This window comes from Homo sapiens, chromosome 16, assembly GCF_000001405.40.
Source record: "Homo sapiens chromosome 16, GRCh38.p14 Primary Assembly".
Taxonomy (NCBI): Eukaryota; Metazoa; Chordata; class Mammalia; order Primates; family Hominidae; genus Homo; species Homo sapiens.
The window spans coordinates 7,866,778-7,887,724 of NC_000016.10; the positions used below are offsets into that span (position 1 = coordinate 7,866,778).

General features: G+C 39.7%; 1 long non-coding RNA gene across 1 annotated transcript in view, besides 3 other annotated features; it reads right to left on the reverse strand.

Moving 5' to 3' along the window:
* Window positions 244-866: an enhancer, noted in NCBI's record as "OCT4-NANOG hESC enhancer chr16:7917023-7917645 (GRCh37/hg19 assembly coordinates)". NCBI's record gives its function as "activates a minimal SCP1, AML or CMV promoter by ChIP-STARR-seq in primed H9 embryonic stem cells {active_cell/tissue: H9 hESC(primed)}" and the evidence as "EXISTENCE:reporter gene assay evidence [ECO:0000049][PMID:30033119]".
* Window positions 244-1,893: a biological region, named in NCBI's record as "P300/CBP strongly-dependent group 1 enhancer GRCh37_chr16:7917473-7918672".
* Window positions 694-1,893: an enhancer, noted in NCBI's record as "P300/CBP strongly-dependent group 1 enhancer chr16:7917473-7918672 (GRCh37/hg19 assembly coordinates)". NCBI's record gives its function as "activates an origin of replication core promoter dependent on BRD2, BRD4, P300/CBP, MED14 and CDK7 cofactors, with strong dependence on P300/CBP, by STARR-seq in HCT116 cells {active_cell/tissue: HCT116}" and the evidence as "EXISTENCE:reporter gene assay evidence [ECO:0000049][PMID:35650434]".
* Window positions 9,706-20,947, reverse strand: part of LOC105371069 (uncharacterized) — a 236,274-nt gene continuing 225,032 nt past the window's right edge. The window contains exon 5 of the long non-coding RNA NR_197430.1: window positions 9,706-12,994. This is a non-coding gene — a long non-coding RNA (uncharacterized LOC105371069). The remainder of the gene's footprint in view (window positions 12,995-20,947) is intronic.

The following is a 20,947-nucleotide window of genomic DNA, read 5'->3' on the forward strand; positions in this document are numbered from 1 at the left end:
AGGCCAGGACCCAGTATATTTTAATTCTCCAAAGCATCAATTTGGAAAGGGAAGAGAAGGAAATTCTGTGCTCATGGTCATCAGCGAAAGTACTCTGTCTGATACAGACTGACTTCTTTCAAGTGTCTCTGTCTCACATTTTATTAGATGAGAAGGGGACTCTACTTTTTATGCAAGCATGTGGTAATTTATAAAACACATATGCAAATTACCTGATTCTTCATTCAGCTGGTATTCTTCCAATTGCCTTAATAGACCATAAAAATGGTAATGCCATGGTGCACCGTTAAATGCTCAGCTATTTAGCCCAGCAGCCCTCCTTGTTTAATAGTTTTGCTCATTTAGCATGTACAATTTGTAACTGAGTAAATCTCATTTTGAAGTAGGCTGGGGAAGTTAAACTGCCTCTGGGAGTCCTGGGCACACCCTTTCGTGGCAGGAATATCACTAATAGCTACCTGGGCTCTCTGAGCACCTGCTAATGAAGCCAGATTCTCAAAATTGCTAATGAGCTTGGCTCCTTTTATATGACTTAAGATGTGAGTCCGTTTGTTTGTTTTTCCTGTTGTGAGGTTATTTAGCATATCCAAGGAAGCTTGGATATTCATGGAAGCAGGTAACCTGCGCCATCACCTAAGTATTATTTGAATTGATTCTGGCAACCCCTCCCTCCTGAACATCAGCTACACCATGAATTAAGTGCAAAATCTAAGCCAACACTGAGAGGTGGAGTGTGGGTTTACACCTGTTAAAGATCTCATTGTCCAAAATTAATTTAAAACCTATATGTCCCGTAAAGATTGTTAATTGGGAAGCAGAGAAAATAAATTTGGCAGGGAGGGTGGAGTGAAGTGATGAACCTGTCCTGAGAAAGGTTTTGACTTTATTCGTTGAGTGACTGGAGATTTACTGGAGATGTCTGAGCAGGGAAAATGAACCTAGTAGCCGTGTGCTAGCTCGTGTGGAGAGGGAAGTCTTGGAACACCCATCAGGAAGCACTTCTGGAGATGTAAGGGTGATGTGCTAAAGGTTTCACCTGGAGAAATACTGGCTAAAATGAAGAGAAAGGAGTAGGTATAAGCAGTATTAAATTGTGGTAGGCAGAATTCCAAAATGACCTCAAATCCCCACCCTCAGTGACTCATACTCTTGAATAATCCCCTTTCCTTGAGTGTTGGCAAGACCTGTGAATATAATAGGATGTCAATCCCATAGGTCACTTAGCTGGCTTTGAGGTGACAGCAAAGGAGATTACACCAGGCAAGCCTGACCTAATCAGGCAAACCTTCAAAAAGTGTGACATCATTGAGATTCCCACTGTAGGCCTCAAGGAAGAAAGCAAGCCGCTCTGTCCTGGACTGCCAATAGAGAGGGGTGGCCTCTAGGAGTTGAACACCTCAGTCTTACAACCACAAGGAACTGAATTCTCCCAACAACCAATGATCTTGGAAGAGGAACCCAGATTCTGATGAGATTTCAACCCAGGCTGATTTCAACCTTGACTTCAGCTTTACAAGACCTTGAGTGGAGAACCCAGCTGTGTCATGCCTGGACTTTCATCCTCCTGACCTGTGAGATAATAAATGAGTGTTGTTTTTACCTGGTAAGCTTGTGGTGATTTTTAAGGCAGCAATAAAAAACTCATGCCAGTTCCTACCCACTAGGAGGTAATCAGCCTAAAAGACTCAATCTAAAATTATAAAATCTTACTTTAAAAATGCAATTATATTTCAAATATATATGGTGAATCAAGTGAACAGTTGGTTGACCAAGTGTTTCCAAGCTGAGGGTCTTTTGAGTTTACTTTATTGAATATATATAATACGTTTATTACCTTTTTATACAATATCTTTGTTCCATAGCGCTAGTCAAGTGTTTATATTGATGTTTAGATTGTTAATCTTCTCCTTCCCTTTTCCACCTGCCCTCCTCCAATGACCCTCCAGTATAGTATTTCAGATATTACAGTAATTATTAAGCCTGGTTGAACAAGACTCTATTCAGAATTATGTCTCATTGAAATCCAGTAAGATTTCACTCCACATCTCAGTCTCGGATAAAGCTATGCCTTGATACAGAAGAGGAGGTACTGACTGGAAAAAGCTGACTGACCAGCTCTCTGGGTTCCAAACATGTGAAATTTGCTTTCCTAAAATTTGCTGCGGCTGTGGTCCAGAAAGGGAGTCTTTGTTCTGAAAGTTCAGAAACTCCTTGTTAGCGTTGCAGGTAGGTCTGATCTGCCCAGGGTTAACCTGAATTCAATTCAGGTTGAATTCAGATTCTGATTCTAACTCTCTAAACTTCAATGTCCATTTTTAAAGTGCTGAAAATGTGTCTACCTTAGAACACTTTTGAAATGGGATGATTACCACCTGTACCCCCGTAACTTATGGAAAAATAAAATTAAAAAATAAAAATTAAAAAAAGATCCTAATGAAGAAAGGAGAATATGTTCCAGTTTAAAGATGAACATTGAGCATTCCAAAGAAAAAAAAAAATGAGATGATTCAATGAGGTGATTCCTTGTAGATCAGTTAGGAGGAGGAGAAGAAGGAGTCATCAACAAATTGCACACATAATAGGGTTTTGACACTGAGTGAGTGAATGAATGAATGAATGAATGAATGAGGAAGCTTGGCGATGGAGGCCAATTCATGAAATAAACATAAAAATCACACCAGCCAAGTACTTTGGATAATTATTTTGGCTGACCAAGGAAGCTAGAGGAGATGCCAGGTCATTTCCAAAGGTTGCTTGATAAGCATGAGATTCTAAGCAAAGGCAAGGAGAGACTTTTGTTTTTTTAAATGGAGGAATTGCCTGTTTTATGGTACCAATCGGTGATCTCCAGATACACCTATAATCACACTCAGGTTAAATGTGCCCAACAAAATCTAAACCAACACTGCAAGGGTGGAGTGTGGGTTTGCTAGTGTCCTATCTCCTTGGTATGGTGCCTGGCTGGACACTAACATGGGAGTCTCTATTCGCCCTTTCTTAACCATTACCAACCCCTTTCGAAGAACTTAGACTTTTTTCCAACATACTGATTCAAGGCCAGACTTACAGGCTTCACCACCATCCTGTTTCATCAGGCTGATATTATATATCCATTCACTAATTTTCCAGGTGTCAATGTCATATTTGAAACCCCAGAGAGTGATGTTATGTCCAGTCTTTTGAGGGAAGGGGCAACCCAGCTTTGCCATTCTGTCCTTTCTATAGAATAAATCACACAAACCGAATAGACCTGGTGAGATACAAAGTCAAAACCAAAATGTGTTTCTCCCAAAGTCATTCTAAACCAAAGACAATTTACAGACAGTAAAATGAATATTTTTCCTTGAGTTTTATGATCTGAAAGATTTATGGACCATGATCTTAAAAGCCTATTTGAGTTATGTGGAAGAATGTCCTGATTTTTAGATGTGTGCTGAAGTATTTAGAAATCAAGTGCCATGATGTCTGCAACTTACTTTCAACTAGGTCAGCAGATAAACACACAAACACATACACACACACACACACACACACACACATATAAATATATTATAAATCATATAAATATATAATATATTTAAAATATATAATATATATTATATTTTATATATATATATATATAGAAAGATAGGTACACATAAAACAAATTTGGCCAAATTTGAGCTATTGTTGGCTCCGTGTGGCATGTATATGAATGTTCATTGTACTGGTCTTTCAACATTTGTCTATGTTTGAAAATCTTCCTAGTAAAATGTTGGAGAGAAATTCTACCTGTGCTTTAATTCTATTTTATTATTGAGAGGGAGTCTTGCTCTGTCACCCAGGCTGGAGTGCAGTGGTGCGATCTCAGCTCCCTGCAACCTCCGCATCCCGGGTTCAAGCAATTCTCCCTGCCTCGTCCTCCCTAGTAGCTAGGATTACAGGCAGCCACCACCATGCCCGGCTAATTTTTATATTTTTTAGTAGAGACAGGGTTTCGCCATGTTGGCCAGGCTGATCTTCAATGCCTGACCTCAGGTGATCCGCCTGCCTTGGCCTCCCAAATAGCTGGGATTACAGGCGTGAGACACCACGCCCGGCCTTAATTCTATTTTATATGTCCAAAGGTGAATTTGGGCTCTTCCATTCTTTTCTTCTATGATATTGACTAACCATTTAAATATATGGAAGCTTTTCACTTAGGCCTCCTTTTACCACCAGCAGTGTTGTGTATTTTATTCTTCCATTCCCTTATAATGATTTTGTCCAACTCTCTTCTCCTTAGGACGTGGGTTTTCTTTCTGCTTTTAATGTAATTTTACATTTAACCAGAGAAGGCTTGCTTGGGCTGCTTCTTTTTACTGATGTCTTATTTAATAAATCAAAACCACCACTACCTTCTGAGATTAAGTCCAGCCAATGCTCCATTTCTTATTAGGATGAGAACGTCTGTAACCTTCCCCCTGCTAGGATGCCACAAGACAACTTTGCATTTAGTGATGGTGTCCTGGAAGTTACAGGGAATTAGATCCAACTCAATTTGACTCACTTTGATCCGAGCCTCTTAACATAATTTTCAAGTGTTTGACCCAATCAGGATCATGAAGTGGAAAATTTGAGAAAACCTGATTACTGAGGGTTTTTTTAAAAAAAAAGAAAAAAAAGAAAGAAATCAAAAGGACTGTTGGAAGATGTTTAAAGAAATGACACTGCATGGGAAACATCACAGTGTGTGAGTCAAGTTGCTTCAGAATCAGTCGACCAGAAAGGCACCTTGTTGTTGACTCTGCTGAGAGGACACACTTTAACAGGCAGGAGGACGGTGATCCTGCCGAGAGAAACAGAACGGAGCCGATCACAGTGTTAGCAACTTTCTCCTCAGAAGAGCTTCTTAGCTGAGCAGCTCCGCGGAAACCTTTTTGAGGTTGATGTCGATGGCATTGGGTCCCATAGAGTTAGTGAAGCCTTATCATGGAGGAAGACCTTGGCCAGAGGAAGTTCCGATAAATTTCTTGCTGATTCAGTAATCCTCATAACAACGCCATGAGGTTAATGGAATTATCCCCAAGTTGAAGGTACAGAAACTGAGGCTCAGAGATTTAAATAATTTACTTAGCAATGACACACAGCCATGACACACAGTTCGTTCTTCACATTAGTCATTTAGATCCCAGAGCCTGAGCTCTTTGTCATAAATAGGAACCTTAGATATCATATAGTCTAAATCTTCGCCTGCCTGCCTTCCTTCCTTTTCTTTTCTTCCTTTCTTTTCCTTCCTCCTTCCTTCCCTGTCCTTCTTCCCTCCCTTCCTTCCCTCCCTTCCTTTCTTTCTTCCTCCCTCCTTCCCTTTTTCCTTTCCATTATCTTCCTTTCTTCCTTCCTCTCCTCCCTCATTCCTTCCCTCCCTCCCTCCTTTCCTCCTCTCTTTCCTTCTTTCCTTCCTCCCCTGTCTCCTTTCTTCCCTCCCTCTCTTCTTTCTCCCTTCCTTTTAGCCTGTAAGATGATGTTGTAGTATTATAGTCTTCAAAGATACATCCATGAATAAATGAAATAAAAGTCCTTGCTCTCATGCAGCTCACATCCTTGGTGCTCATAAGTGAAAAACGACAGATTAAGCAGAGTCAGGCATGTTTGGTGTGTGGAGCTGCAAGTTTAAATAGGGGGTCTAGATAGAAACCGGTGCAAAGGCCCTGTGGCTGCAGCTACTGGGTCCCTGGCATGTTTGAATAACAGCAAGGAGACCATTGGGCCTAGCACAGAGGGAGCAAAGGGGAGATAGGAGGAGGAGAGGCTAAAGAGGTTACTCGTGGCAAGCTCTTGTAGGGATTTTGCTATGAGAAAAATCCATTGCAAGGGATTTGGGACACAGTGACGAGACTGACTTCCATTTTCAAAGGGACACTCTGGCTGTTGTGTTTTAGAGTAATGGCAGAACCAAAAAGACCAGTTAGAAAGCCAGTGAGGAAATCCAGACCAGAGAGATGTTTGTCACTCATGTTAGGATGGAGGCAGTTAAGGCAAGGAGAAGTGCCAGATTCAGGTTATGTTCTGAAGGTAGGGACAAAATAACTTCCCAGTGGATGGCAAGTGGAGTGTGAGAATAACTGAGCAGTAGAGCTCAGCTCTGTGGATGGGGCCTATGCATTAGGAAGAATGCAATGCCATCAACGGAGATGGGGAAGCTATTGTAGCTCATTTCGATAGTCTGGAAAATGCTTAGCTTTGGACTTTTTGATTTTGAGACATCCATTAGACATCTGCATGGAGAGGTCTATAGTTTAGGATAAAAGTGTGTAATGTAAAGCCAGTTTTTTCGTAACATCTACTTCTCTTTCTCTCTATATTAGATATTTCTCTTTAGCTCACTTTTACAATGAGGACCTGTTTTCTTTAAATCTACTTTAAAAAATTAACAGATAATGCACATATCATAAAATTAGCCATTTTATAGTGTAATATTTGTGTTTTTAACAGATTTACAAGATTTCACTACCATCAACACTATCTAATTCTAAAATATTTTCATCACCCCCAGAAGAAACCCTAAACATATGAATAGTCACTCTGTATTCCTGCCTCCCCTGAGGGCCTGGCATCTATGAATCTACTTTCTGTCTCTATAGATTTGCCTATTCTGAGCATTCCATAAAAATCGCATTATATAATATGTGGCCTTTTGTGTCTGGCTTTTTTTTTGGTTAGCACAATATTTTCTTTTTCTTTTTTTTTTTTTTTTTGCATTTTTAAAATTATTATACATTAAGTTCTGGGATACATGTGAAGAACGTCCAGGTTTCTTACGTAGGTATACATGTGCAATGGTGGTTTGCTGCACCCATCAACCCGTCATCTACATTAGGTATTTATCCTAATGCTATTTCTCTCCTAGCCCTCCACCCCATGACAGGCCCCGGTGTGTAATGTTCCCCTCCCTCTGTCCATGTGTTCTCATTGTTCAACTCCCACTTAAGACTGAGAACATGCAGTGTTTGGTTTTCTGTTCTTGTGTTAGTTTGCTGAGAATGATGGTTTCCAGCTTCATCCATGTCCCTGCAAAGGACATGAACTCATCCTTTTTTATGGCTGCGTAGTATTCCATGGTGTATATGGTTAGCACAATATTTTCAATGGTGTTCGTGTTGTACCATGTATTACCACTTCATTCTTTTTCACTAGCGAATAATATTCCATCAAAGGAATATACTGCATTTTGATTATCTATTCATCATTTGATGGGCATTAGCATTGTACCTGCTATTTTGCTATTATGAATCATGCTGCAGTGAGCATTCATGCACAAGCTTTTATGTGCATAGATATTTCCAATTCTTGTGGGTATGTATGTAGCAATGGGATGGCTGGTCAAGTGGTAACTACATATTTAACTTTTTGAGAAACTGCCAGACTGACTTTCATAGCAGTTACACTGTTCTACATTGACACCAGCAATGCATGAAAGTTCCAATTTCTCTGCATTCCTGCCAAGATTTGTAATTGTGTGTCTTCTTGATTATAGTGATCTTGGTGGGTGTGAAGTGGTATATTATTGTGATTTTGATTTGTATTTCCCTAATGACTAATGATGTTGAACATCTTTGCATATGCTTATTAGTCATTTGAATATCTTCTTTGGACAAATGCCTATTGAAGTTCTTTGCCAATTTTTAAATTGGGGCATTTAACTTTTTAGTGGTGAGTTTTAAGGATTCTTTATATATGAATATCATCTGTATGACTAGCAAATGTTTTCTCCCATTCTTTGGCTTTTCTTTCCACATTCTTATTAGTGTCTTTTGATGCATAAAAGTTATTAATTTTGATGAAATCCAATGTATCTATTTTTTATTAAGATATACACCTGTGTTTTCTTCTAAGAGTTTTACAGTTTCCGCTTTTACATTTAGATCTTTGATGCATTTTGAAATATGTTTTGTATATCATGTAAGATAGGACCCTAAATTCATTCTTTTGCATGTAGATATTCAATTGCCCCAGCACCACTGTTACAAAGACTATTTCTTCTCTAATGAATAGTCTAGGCATCCTTGTCAAGCATTCTCTGAATTTGCTTTATAGATTATTTCCAACTCCCCTATTTAGTACAAGAAGTATATAGAGCAGATATGTTTTTTATATGAACACAAGAAAGCAGATACACATATATATGGGTATACAGTCATATATACATATATGTGTGTATATGTATATAAATATAATTTTCATATGATCTTTAAAAGACCATAATCTTTTTGTTTTCTACCTTCATAAAAGATGAAGCTCCAACTTTGTAACTCTAGGTAGTTGAGATTTGGAGATAGGGCTAAATATGGGCAAATTGTTATGATTGTAGTACATTCCATACAGTAGTTATTAAATTAATTCTGTACTACAAAGACTCATCTTCTAATGGAACTCACTCATAGGTGGGAATTGAACAATGAGATCACATGGACACAGGAAGGGGAATATCACACTCTGGGGACGGTGGTGGGGTCGGGGGAGGGGGGAGGGATAGCATTGGGAGATATACCTAATGCTAGATGACACATTAGTGGGTGCAGCGCACCAGCATGGCACATGTATACATATGTAACTAACCTGCACAATGTGCACATGTACCCTAAAACTTAGAGTATAATAAAAAAATAAAAATAAAAAAAAAATAAAAAAAATAAAAACAGGCTGCAGGAAGACATGGAGAAGGGAAGTCTTGATCTCTCTGGGTATGTTTAGGCCAGCAGATAAAGCTTACTTTTATTTTAGCATATCAGAACTGGAAAAACCTTAAGATGATCTCTTCTCGAGGATTATTCATCTGAGGGATTGGGGCTCTGAGAAGGAAGATGGAACAGTGCAGCAGAATGGAAAGCAGGTTGTATTAGTCTGTTCTCACGCTGCTAATAAAGACATACCGGAGACTGTGTAATTTATAAAGGAGAGAGGCTGAATGGACTCCCAGTTCCACATGGCTGGGGTAGCCTTACAGTTATGGTGGAAGGCAAAGGGAAAGCAAGACACATCTTACATGGCAGCAGGCAAGAGATTGTGTGCAGGAACTCCCCTTTATAAAACCATCAGATCTCATGAAACGTATTCACTATCATGAGAACAGCATGGGAAAGACCTGCCCTCATGATTCAATTACCTCCCACCGGGCCCCTTTCACAATATGCGGGGAATATGGGAGCTATAATACAAGATGAGATTTGGGTGGGGACACAGCCAAACCATATCACAGGTGGAAGTTGGAGTTGCACAAACTTTGAACCTCATTTTCATCATTTTATTTTTCTCTTTGACCTTGGGCAAGTGACTTTACTTACCCAAACTTGTACTTGTCCATTAGTGAAATGACATGATAATACTTGTACTGCAGATCTGTAGAACAAAATATGTTTAGCACCTAATTTAATACCTGACACAGAAGAAGCATCCCATGCAAATATGCTGTTATTATTACACTTGTTACTTAATTTCTACAAGACCTTTTGCTTAAGAATGTCTACTCAGCTTACAGATATTGGCTAGGACATCACTGCTCAAAAAAAAAAAAATCTTACAAAGCACTGTTTCTCAACCCCACATACACATGAGCCTCCATTCCATATTTGTGGGTTCTACATCCCATGTACTCAGAAAACCAAGCACCTTTCTTCCTATTTCTCAGTAGTTTACAATCACACAAACACACACACACACACACACCACCCTGACTTTAAACAAATGTTCGTTACTATTTTTTCTCTTCTTTATTAAAATAAAAAATAAATGCAATAAAAGTCATTCATCATGGGGTACAGTTCTGTGAGTTTTGCCAAACACTATAATGTAGCCACCACCAAAATCAAGATACAGAACAGGCTTATCACCCCCTAAATTTCCTCATCCCCTTTTGTAGTCAGTCCTCTCCACGTCCAGCCTTTGGCATGTACTAATCTGTTTTTTATCTATAAAGTTAGCTTTTTCTGAAATATAAAAATGCAGTCATGCAGCCTTTGAGTATGGGTTTCGTCACTAAAAACACACTTGAAATTCATCCATGTTGTTGTGTGTATTGGTAGTTTCCTGATTTTAATTGCTGAGTAGTATTCTATTGAATTGATATACCATGATTTGTTATCCTTTCACCCCTCAGAAGCTGTGTGGATTGCTATCAGATTTGGGTGATTATAAATAAAGCCACTCTGACCATTCATGTACAGATTTTTGTGAGACTATAACTGTTCATTTTACTTGGAGGAAAAGTCCAAGATTAGAATTTCTGGGCCTATCTGCAGAATTTTATTTTTTTTTTAAAGTAGAAGAATTATCTGAGGCAGATGTAATAAAATGTAGGTTTGACAATGTGGATTGAGTGAGCGCAGGTGGTCTTCATATTATTCTGCATATTTTTCGTATGCTTAAAACATTTTATTAGCCGGGAGCAGTGGCTCATGCCTGTAATCCCAGCACTTCGAGAGGCCAAGGCAGGTGGATCATGAGGTCAAGAGATCGAGATCATCCTGGCTAACAGAGTGAAACCCCATCTCTACTAAAAATACAAAAAATTGGCTGGGCATAGTGGCGCTTGCCTGTAGTCCCAGCTACTTAGGAGGCTGGGGCAGGAGAATTGCTTGAACTCGGGAGGCGGAGGTTGCAGTGAGCCGAGATCGCGCCATTGCACTCCAGCCTGGGTGACAGAGCGAGACTCCATCTCAAGAAAAAAAAATTGTTAAAAACAAACCTCACAACCTGTGCAATGTAAGTCAAGCAAACAATCCAGATGAAATAGGAACTGTTGATTTTGTCAAGGTATACACATGGCCCTTTAACTGTAATAAAATTCTTTTCTACCTATCAATAGAATAATTCTTAGACATATCACTGAAACCTTCTAATGATTCTGAGTAGAAATGGATTAATCTTATCTATAGCTGACAAGGCAGCCCCTTGGGATGATGCGAATCTCTCTGTGTGGTTCCACCTTCCAGGTACTACTGGAGTCACTTTACATAGATGCCCATGAGTCTCTTACTGGTCCACCTTCTTTCTGCTTTCATTATCTATCTCCCTGCTGCCTCCACTTTACCCAGGTGCCATCTTCACCCAGTTATTGCTCTTCCTTTATACTTGGTCTTCCAAAAAGAACTTTTTAGTCACTGAGAGGAGAATTTCCAAAGCATCAAACTCTCATGTGAATATACACATAACAATATCCCAGACCACCATTTCTACCAGGGCAGGGGAGGAGGATTACAAGAAAAGAGGGAGGAAACAGGGAGCCTGTTGGGGCTAAGCCAGAACAAAAAGGTGGAGGACAATAGCAAAGATATGGAATCAACCTAGATGCTCATTGACAGTGGATCGGATAATGAAAATGTGCATATACACCGTGCAATACTACACAGGCATAAAAAAGGAACAAAAGCATGTTCTTTGCAGCAACATGGATGCAGTTGGAGGCCATTATTCTAAGCAAACGAACATAGAAACTGAAAACCAAATATTGCATGCTCCCACTTATAAGCAGGAGCTAAACACTGAGTACATAAAGACACAAAGATGGAAACAACAGACACCAGGATCTACTTGAGGGAGGAGGATGTGAAGAGAGCTGGGGTTAAAAAACTACCTGTCTGGTACTATGCTCACTACCTGGGTGATGGGATCATTTGTACACCAAATCTCAGCAACACACAATGTACCATGTAACAAACCTGCACAGGTACTCCCTGAATCTAAAATAAACATTAAAAAAAAAAGAGGTGAAGGAGCAGGAAACCATATCCTATCACATAATTGTCAGGCCTCAAGAAGTTGGGTGGCCCCCACCTACAGTCTAGAAAGGTAACGATGGGGACACTTTCAGGCAGGAAATTCTTTTCACAAAACGCCTTTGGATTATGCTTTGGAAAATTGCATTAGCTGTGGTGGTGATAAATAGTCTTTTAAAGTCACAAAACATTCATCAGCTGAACACTCAGACCCTTCAGGTAGCACAGAGAGTGAACATTGACGGGAAACATGAAATATGGGCCAGTCCACCATCCACTAACTAAAATGTTTTATCTGGTAATCACTCTGGAGCAAGATTTATTTTTGGTTTCAAAAACATCTTTTTAGTTTAAATTAGATTCAAGGGATCCTCTCTCTCCATCATCTGACGTCCTGGCGTTTAGCATTTTTGGGGGCTCTTTTTTTCATTAACCCTCTCATAATCATCTTCCAATCAAGTGTTTCCAAAAAGAAAATTACAAGTGGAGCTGAACAATAATTATGAATTCCACTGAAAGTTTGGGCTGATGGTAGGCTTTGAGGGAAGTGGGCTGAGAGTTCTTTAATGACAGGAATTATGAAGAAGTCTGATATAGAATTTGAATTTCCTTTTCCCAACATCATCCCAGGTATTCTTGACTCGCATTGCAAAGCTCAGCTTGGGCATTACTTCTACTATGGAACCATTTTTTTGTTTTTGTTGTTGTAGTTGCGAGACAGGGCCTTGATCTGTTGCCTAGGTTGGAGTACAGCTGCACAATTATAGCTCTCTGCAGCCTTGACTTCAGTCTCCAGAATAACTGGGACTACAGGTACATGCCATCATGCCTGGCTAATTTTTATATTTTTCATAGAGATGAGGTCTCGCTACATTGCACAGGCTGATCTTGAGCTCCTGAGCTCAAGTGACCCTCCTCTCTCAGCCTCTCAGAGTGCTGGGATTACAGATGTGAGCTACCATGCCCGAAAAGAAACATTTTTGTTTGTTTGTTTGCTTCTGCCCACTCCACCCAGACAGAATTACATACTTCTTCTCCTGGACCCCAACAGCTCTCTGTTGTGCCTTCCTTGAAGCCATCCATCACTTGACTTGAGGTCCTTTCTCCAGCATTTTCCTCCTGCCCTTGGATACCCGGTGTTCATTTCAGTTGTGGTTGAATTCCTTCTGCCTTTGCTAGTGTCCAGCATGCAGCAGACACTCACGAAACACTCGGTGAAGAAATGAAGTCATCTTTCTGTGTGTAGTCTGCTTGTTTGGATCCTGAGAGAGTGAAAAAGAAAAGCCTCCAAGAGGCAAGTAGGCAAGTAATGAGAGAGGAAAGAGGAAAAGAAAGAGAAAATTGCATCCCATGACAAATCTCATTGAACACCATTTTTAATATAATGGGAAAGGATTCAAAGAGAAACTTTAAAGGGGAAAAGAATCTTAATGATAGGAAACAAAAATCATTACACATCACATGGCAAGCTGACATCGCATGGCAGAATGACAAATCCTAGAAAGAGATTAATTTCTCTATTAATGTGTAGATTTACTTAGTATTTCCCCCTTCTCACACAATTCTTTTTAAAAAATTATTTATTTATTTATTTATTTTTGAGACAGAGTCTTGCTTTGTGGGCCAGGCTGGAGTGCAGTGGCACAATCTCGGCTCACTGCAACCTCTGCCACCCTGGTTCAAACAATTCTCCTGCCTCAGCCTCCTGAGTAGCTGGGATTACAGGTGCCCGCCATCATGCCCAGCTAATTTTTGTGTTTTTAGTAGAGACACAGTTTCATCATGTTGGCCAGGCTGGTCCCAAACTCCTGATCTCAAGTGATCCGCCCGTCTTGGCCTCCCAACGTGCTGGGATTACAGGCATGAGCCACTGTGCCCGGCCCTCTTCTCATGCAATTCTGTTTTGCTTTTGAATATAGTCGTTTCATTCTGTTAAAACAACTGAAATATAACAATACCTTAAATTTAACTCTGAGTACCTCAGTCTCTCTTTGTCTCTCTCTTCCCCCCTTCCCCCATTCTACGCTATGAGTTTTTAAACATCACCAATGTGTTGGTTCTTCATCAGATTTTCTGAAGTATCACATATTTTGGAGGACCCAGTTTGGAACTCCACATAGGATTGTATTTATTTGTATGTGCTTGAAGAAAAGTAATGTTGAAATAAAATTCTTCAGAGAATATTTCCACTGTTCCTTGAATTTACTTGAGTGGGGTATATTCAAATGCATTGTAATATCTCCTCTGATCGCCATCAACATCCATGGGCTCTATTTATTTTGGGTTGAGTCTGTATCTGTTATCTGTATTTCCTTCTTTCTTTCTTTCCTTTTTTTTGTTCTTGTTTTTTTTTTTTTTTTTTTTTTTGACGGAGTCTTGCTCTTGTCACCAGGCTGGAGTGCAGTGGCTCAATCTCGGCTCACTGCAACCTCCACCTCCTGGTGGGTTCAAGCGATTCTCCTGCCTCAGCCTCCTGAGTAGGTAGGACTACAGGCGCGTGCCACCACACCCAGCTAATTTTTGTATTTTTAATAGAGACGGGGTTTCACCATGTTGGCCAGGATGGTCTCCATCTCTTGACCTCGTGATCTGCCCGCCTCAGCCTCCCAAAGTCCTGGGATTACAGGCGTGAGCCACTGTGCCCGGCCATGAGTCTGCATTTCTATAGCTTCAGAATCAGACACATAGGTGGTATCAAATAGCATTTTTTAATTTTAATTTTTGTGAGTACATAGTAAGTATGTATGTTTATGGGGTATATGAGATACTTCGACGCAGTCATGCAATGTGCAATAGTTACATCATGGAAAATGGGTATCCATCTCCTCAAGCATTTATCCTTTGCATTACAAACAATCCAATTTGGCACCATCCAGGAAAACAGTAGTCCACATAAGTGATTTTGATATATTTTTATGTCTTTTCATTCAGTTTAGCCAACATTTGCTGAAATTTTGCCGCCTACGAGACACTGGGCTAGGCAAGATCCACAGGCTTAAAATGCAGAAGAATGAATCTGTAGGGGCATGGGTTTAACTGACCTCACCTTCTCCAAAACTGGATTAGCTCTGTATGCAAAATCATTCCACATGAACATACAGTAAGTGTGCACTTAACATCATTGACAGGTTCTCAGAAATTCCAGCTTCAAGTGAAATGACATACAGCAGGTCCTCGAATACCATTGATTGCTTCAGTGTCCTTTTGTATAATATTGATGGAAAAAAATGGTTTTATTCTAGTTCACTGCACTTAAGGTTGCAGTTTCCAAAAACCTATCAACAATATTAAGTGAGGATTTACTGCACGCTCTAAAATTTTAAAAGAGAATAAAGTACTTGTTGTGAAAACACAGTTTTAAGATAATTCCCCCCAGCAATTCTTCCTTTAAGACAGGTACCCTTAAATACATCATTTACAAGCTTCAGGAGGCACCCCTGAGCACACATATTAATAAGCCATAATTCCTGACCTCAAGGAGTGAAGCAAGTATTGCTAATGGCCTTGGGAGAAGTATATGGCTGGAGCTCCATCAGCAGAGAGAGGGGAGCTCAGCACAACCTGATGGTTAAGGAAAGTCTTCTTGGAAAAGCTCACCGATTTACATGCCAAATCTGCATATACATATTTTAATCATTATATACCTCCATCCATTTATTATGAAATGGAGGATCCTTAAATGACCCATCTCAATGACTGCAGCCCCTCATTTTGGACACAAATTTCTAAGATGCTGTCAGATATTCTCCATATGTAGCATTTTGCATGTCTTCTCCAAGTACCCTCAAACTGAGACACTTCGTTATATATACATTCAATAGCTTGCCGCCTTTTTTTATAATAAAGTGGTGTACCTGTGTCATTCAATTCTGTCTCCACCCATCTCCCACCTATCTCATTAATTCCTGGTTGGCCTAAGCAAGAAAACCCAATTGCAAACTTTTATAACTTGTGTTAAAGTGAAATTAGATAGTGTCAGAGTGAGGCTAAAGAACAAAGCAGATAGCACCTGTAATAGTCGTTTTCTTGTTTTATCTTCTTTTGGGGGCCAGAGGGTGGAAAGTGAGGTGGGAAGGGTCTAATTTCTTGGAGTACTTCACAGTTATGTACATTTCAAAGAGCTTTGTTTTTATACTCTCTATTTGGGGCAATAACCCAGTTTATTTATTTGTGGTTTATTTATTTATGCAACTCTAGGTCAGCAACAACCCTGACAAAATGGGCATTGAGAAAGTTCTTGGTTGTTCCATTTTTCTTTCCCTCTATCTTTTTATTTCTAATCACTGTTTAGGTTCCAAACATAAATTTAGAATCTACGGAGGTGAGGCTTCATGATACACAGTTACTAACTGATCAGTCAACCAGACTAGTAATATGAACTTTAATCACCAAGAATCGCATTTACACATATTTATTTTTCCTTTCTTCTATTATTCACTGCATAGCCCTGGGAAGAAAAGTGCCATCATTGGGTCCCTGTCTATTTCACCCTTGGCAGCCTGTAAGAATATTTGAAATGCTCATGTCCAAAGACTGACCTAAAAGTACTCAGGAACTAGGGGCAAAGTTAACTGCCATCTGGTTCTCTCTGAAGGCTGTCAGTGATGACCTATTCTCTGCCTTTACATTTGATTTTCTCTGCAAACCTTCTGCCTACCATGGACATTTTTTTCCAGCCTCCATGCTCCGACTTTGGGCACAAGAAAAGAATTTCTACTAGACTAACTGCTAAAATACACAGAAATGATGCCAAAAGGTCTTTCTGTTCCTAACACCTCTAATAGTGTTGGGCTATGAGTGGTGTTGCATTAGTTTTCTGTTGTGACTGTAACAATTTACCATAAACTTAGTAACTTAGGCTGGGCACGGTGGCTCATACCTCTAATCCCAAAATTTTTGGAGGTCAAAGTGGGAGGATGGTTTGAGCTCAGGAGTTTGAGAATGGCCTGGGCAACAAAGGGAGACCCCGGCTCTATTTTTAATACTTTTTAATAAAGAAGAAAAACCTTAGCAACTAAAAACAACATGAATTGATTATCTCACAGCATTGGAGGTCAGAATCCAAAATGGGTCTCACTGGACTAACATCAAGGTGTCACTAAGGCTGTCTTCCTTTCTACAGGCTCTAATGGAGGAATTGTTTTCTTGCCTTTTCTATCTTCTAGAGGCTACTCACGTTCCCTAGCTTATAACCCTTCTATCTTCAAAGCCAGCAGTGTCCTGGCCAGTCAAGTCTGTCTCACATTGCCTCACTCTGACCCTCCACCCCAGCTCTTCTATTCACCTGTAAAAATCGTTTTGATTACGATGAACCAAGAGAATCCAAGAGATAATGCAAGAGAATCTCCTTCTCTCAAGATCGACTGATTAGCAACCTTAATTATGTTTGCAATTTTAATTCCTCTTTGCCAAGTTCTAGGGATTAGGACACAGACATCTTTGAAGCAGCATTATTTTACTGACCACACGTACTCAGTGCATATGTGAAAAAAATTTTATTCCTATGGAGAAGTTCACTGGGTTGGATTCCTTGGGACAGTTACTTGGCTTTGAGAAGAAAAAGTGAGGTCATGTTCTTTTTTTTGTCTTTTCTTGAACCAGAAATAAAAACACTTTCATGTCTATCTTAAGGACAGCCACAGCTTCAGAGCTCAGCCTGCCTCCTTGCAGCTAGCTGAACATGGACAAGCAATTGACACTCTCTGGACCTGCACTATCCAATAGAACTTTCTGTGATGATGGGCATGTCCACATCTGTGCTGTCCCATCTGTAACTACTGGCTGCATGTGGCTCTTGAGGTCTTAAAACATGAGCAGTTAGAGAAACTAAATTGCCAATTTTATTTAGTTTTAGCGAATCTGAATTCAAATTTAAATAGCCACATGTGACTAGTGGCTGCCACATTATACAGAACAACCCTAGGCATTTCTAAATAAATGACAAGCTGCAAAATTTGGAATTAATAATATCCATTGTTAAGGGTTGTTTTCAGGATTAAATGAGATAATTTATGTAAAGTGCTTAGCATGGCACCTGGTTTATGGTAACTGCTCATGGAAGTTATATTTATTACTACCATTGTCATCACTGCTATTATTATTTTATTTCTTATGGCTATTTAAGACGATTATTATTTACTACTAATAATAAGTATCATTATTTTTATTTGTACCCTTTGCATTAATGATTTCCTGCCAATTAGACAATGTTTTCATGTGTTCATAGAGGAGGAAGTGGGCTGGATCACAAAGAAAAGGCACGGAATGAGAACAGCAGACTGGGTGTTCTTGGAGGAGGAAAACCTAAATCAATGACAAGCTCTTCTCTGGATAGGGAATCACAGGAAATCATGAAATTCAGAAACCAAAGATTCCCACTGAATTTCCTGAAGTGCTTCCCTGAGGTGGAGGCATACAATTTTGTGGGAAAGATCCCCTCCATCCTGGCAGGGTATGAACTAAGTTCTAAGTCAGGAGTCTTAGAAGTTATTTCTTTATACTTCTAAGGTATCCGCTTAGCACAGCTGTAAGCCACCATGTGTGCAGAGATTATAAACAGAGCATAAGCCACTCAAACCCTGATATATCTGACCACAGTCTTGGCCATGTAAAAAGTGGAGGTAGAAAGAGTGTAAACTTTGGAGTTGGAGCAAATGGAAATTGAATGCGCACTCTGCCGTTACTTACTGGGTGCCTTTGCCAAATAACATACCCTCTACAAGCCTGCTTCCTTATCAAATTAAGGGGATTGAATTAACCATTGTGTTTCAGTTTCTTAGCATAGCACCTAATATATAGTACATGCTCAATTAATTAAATTAGAGACGCTTAATACATTTTTGTTGACTGGGTGAATAAATCTAGCGACCCAACGTGAAATGACTTTATACGTCACAAAGAATGGGTATATAGAAATGGTGCAAAGGATCTGGGCTCTGAACACACAGGCAAGCCCATGAGTCTTGCCGGTTGTGTTCTTCAGAGCAGGTGCTCTGAGATGCAGAATGAGAAGCAATTTATTAGAGATCAACATTTGTGAAAAAAGAGGAGAAATGTGCACTGAAGAGAGAGAAGTCAAATGCAATGCAGGCCACTGTAGGGTTTTGGCCAATGAGGCAGGGAGCTCTAAGAGGATGTCGCCCATCAGTTGACTCAGTTTGGGCCTAAATGACTAGGCATTTATACCTTGCCCTTGCTTAAAAATTGGCTTCAGGCTGCCCCAGGAAGACTGTGGTCTCTCTCGAGGGTGCTCTCTGAAGCCAAAACAGATCCTGCAAGAAATGACAGCTGGAGCTCCCCAGTGCCACACTTCTCATAGCTGGGCAGCACACCCTGCTGTGAGGACGGATCTGGGAGATATATCCCTTGTTCACCCCAATGGGATACTCAGATTAGTGAGAGCAGGTCAAGGGACAGAAAATGCAAGAAACATTCCCAGGGTTGTAATCAACCAGTGGCAAATATGTGATAGGAATCCAGGAGAAACAGAGAGGATGCTATAAGCTAAATTTGGAAAATTTCATGTGTAACTCCTAATAAATTTCTATTCATTGTAATAAGGACATTTATATGAAGAAATAACATTCCCAAACAGATCAGCATAAGACAAGAAATGTAGGGTACAATGGAGAGTAATGGAAGGATTTAGATCAAACCGAAAAAGCTTTCTAATTGCAGTGTTTAAAAACTTGGGCAATGACATCATAGTGATTTGGGATCAAGTCCTGATTCTGCAACTAACACATGACTATTAAGTCACTTAACTTCCCTAAGCCCTGGTTTCCTGATTTGTCAAATGGAAATTGAATTGCAATCACTGCATTACATTGTCGTGGTGATTAAATGAATTAATGCATTTATAGGGTGTTGTGTTTAGCAAATAATATTCACTCAATACATTTTAGCTCAGTGTTCTGACTAGACTATGAGTTTTCTGCAACTTCTTAGTGAGGAGTGGTTTGAAATTAATATCAGACTTTTCTTTCTACCAAACACATGTATAATACTGTATATTATTTAAAATTTGTGCCTAAGATATACCTAAATGAAACAATAGTAAAATATACGTATTTCTAATGTCATACATAAGATTCAACATTACCAATGATTTTTATTTCCCATTTACAATTATGTCCACTGAATCATAAATTACATAATCTCCCAAGACATTGTTATATACCAGCTTACACTCTCTCTCGGAGAATTCAAGAATGCATTTGCATAATAAATTATCTGAGAAATTTCAGTCAGAAGAATATTCCAGTGTTTAATTTTGTTGAACCTAGATTACCCAATTTCTTTTGGCCCCATAATCCTTATTTTTCATGTGCAGATTTATTAATCAGGACACTTGAAATTGCAAGTAACAGAAACCTAACTCTACCACACTAAGCAAAGAAACAGATTTATTGCACCAAGGAATTGCATTGAACAAGGATGAAGCTCAGGCCTGCTTGCATCAAGGGACCAAGTAATGTCATTTGTCAACCTCTAAACTGTTTTCTCTGTATCCACTTTATTCTCAGGAATACTCTCCTTAAATGTTTAAAACATTGATAATACCAGTTCTAAACTTTCTGTGACAATATAAATGCCCAGAAGGGAGGAGACGAAGTTTCTGTTGTTGCTGTTTTTGTTTCATAAAAATCAATTTTAGGAGAAGTGTCAGGGTAGCCTCTCAGTAGCCCAGATTGGACACTAACACTGTGACTAGAACGATGTAATAATGCTAAATGCCCAACTTAGGTCAGATGTCCACCTCTGGAACTGAAATAGGGTCATTAAAGTTACACTCATCCAAAGCACAAAGACTTAGAGGGTTAAGCCCTAAATAGCCCCATTGCCAGAGAGGCCATCTGAGATCTTTGTCTTGCCAAAAACAGCTCCATGCTGAATTTGCAGAAAGGCTTAATTTCTCCTCCGGAGCTCTGAGCAGGGTTATTAACAGTCCCTTTCAAGTCCTCCCTCTGAGAAGCTCTACAAACAGCTGCACTAAAAGGAAGAGGGAGGAAGCACTAAAGCTTTTGGAACCCAGGTTGTGCACCCTCTGGCAGCCCCAGGCTTTATCCCGGCAACCTTGATGAAGAGCAGTAGCATTCAGGGGAGGTTGGAGGCCTGAAGATTTTCAGCAAAGCTCATTTCTGAGAATGCCTGCCAGGGATTGCCCTGTGCAGCCATATCAGGGATTTGAGAATAAAGCTGATATCCAAGAAAAA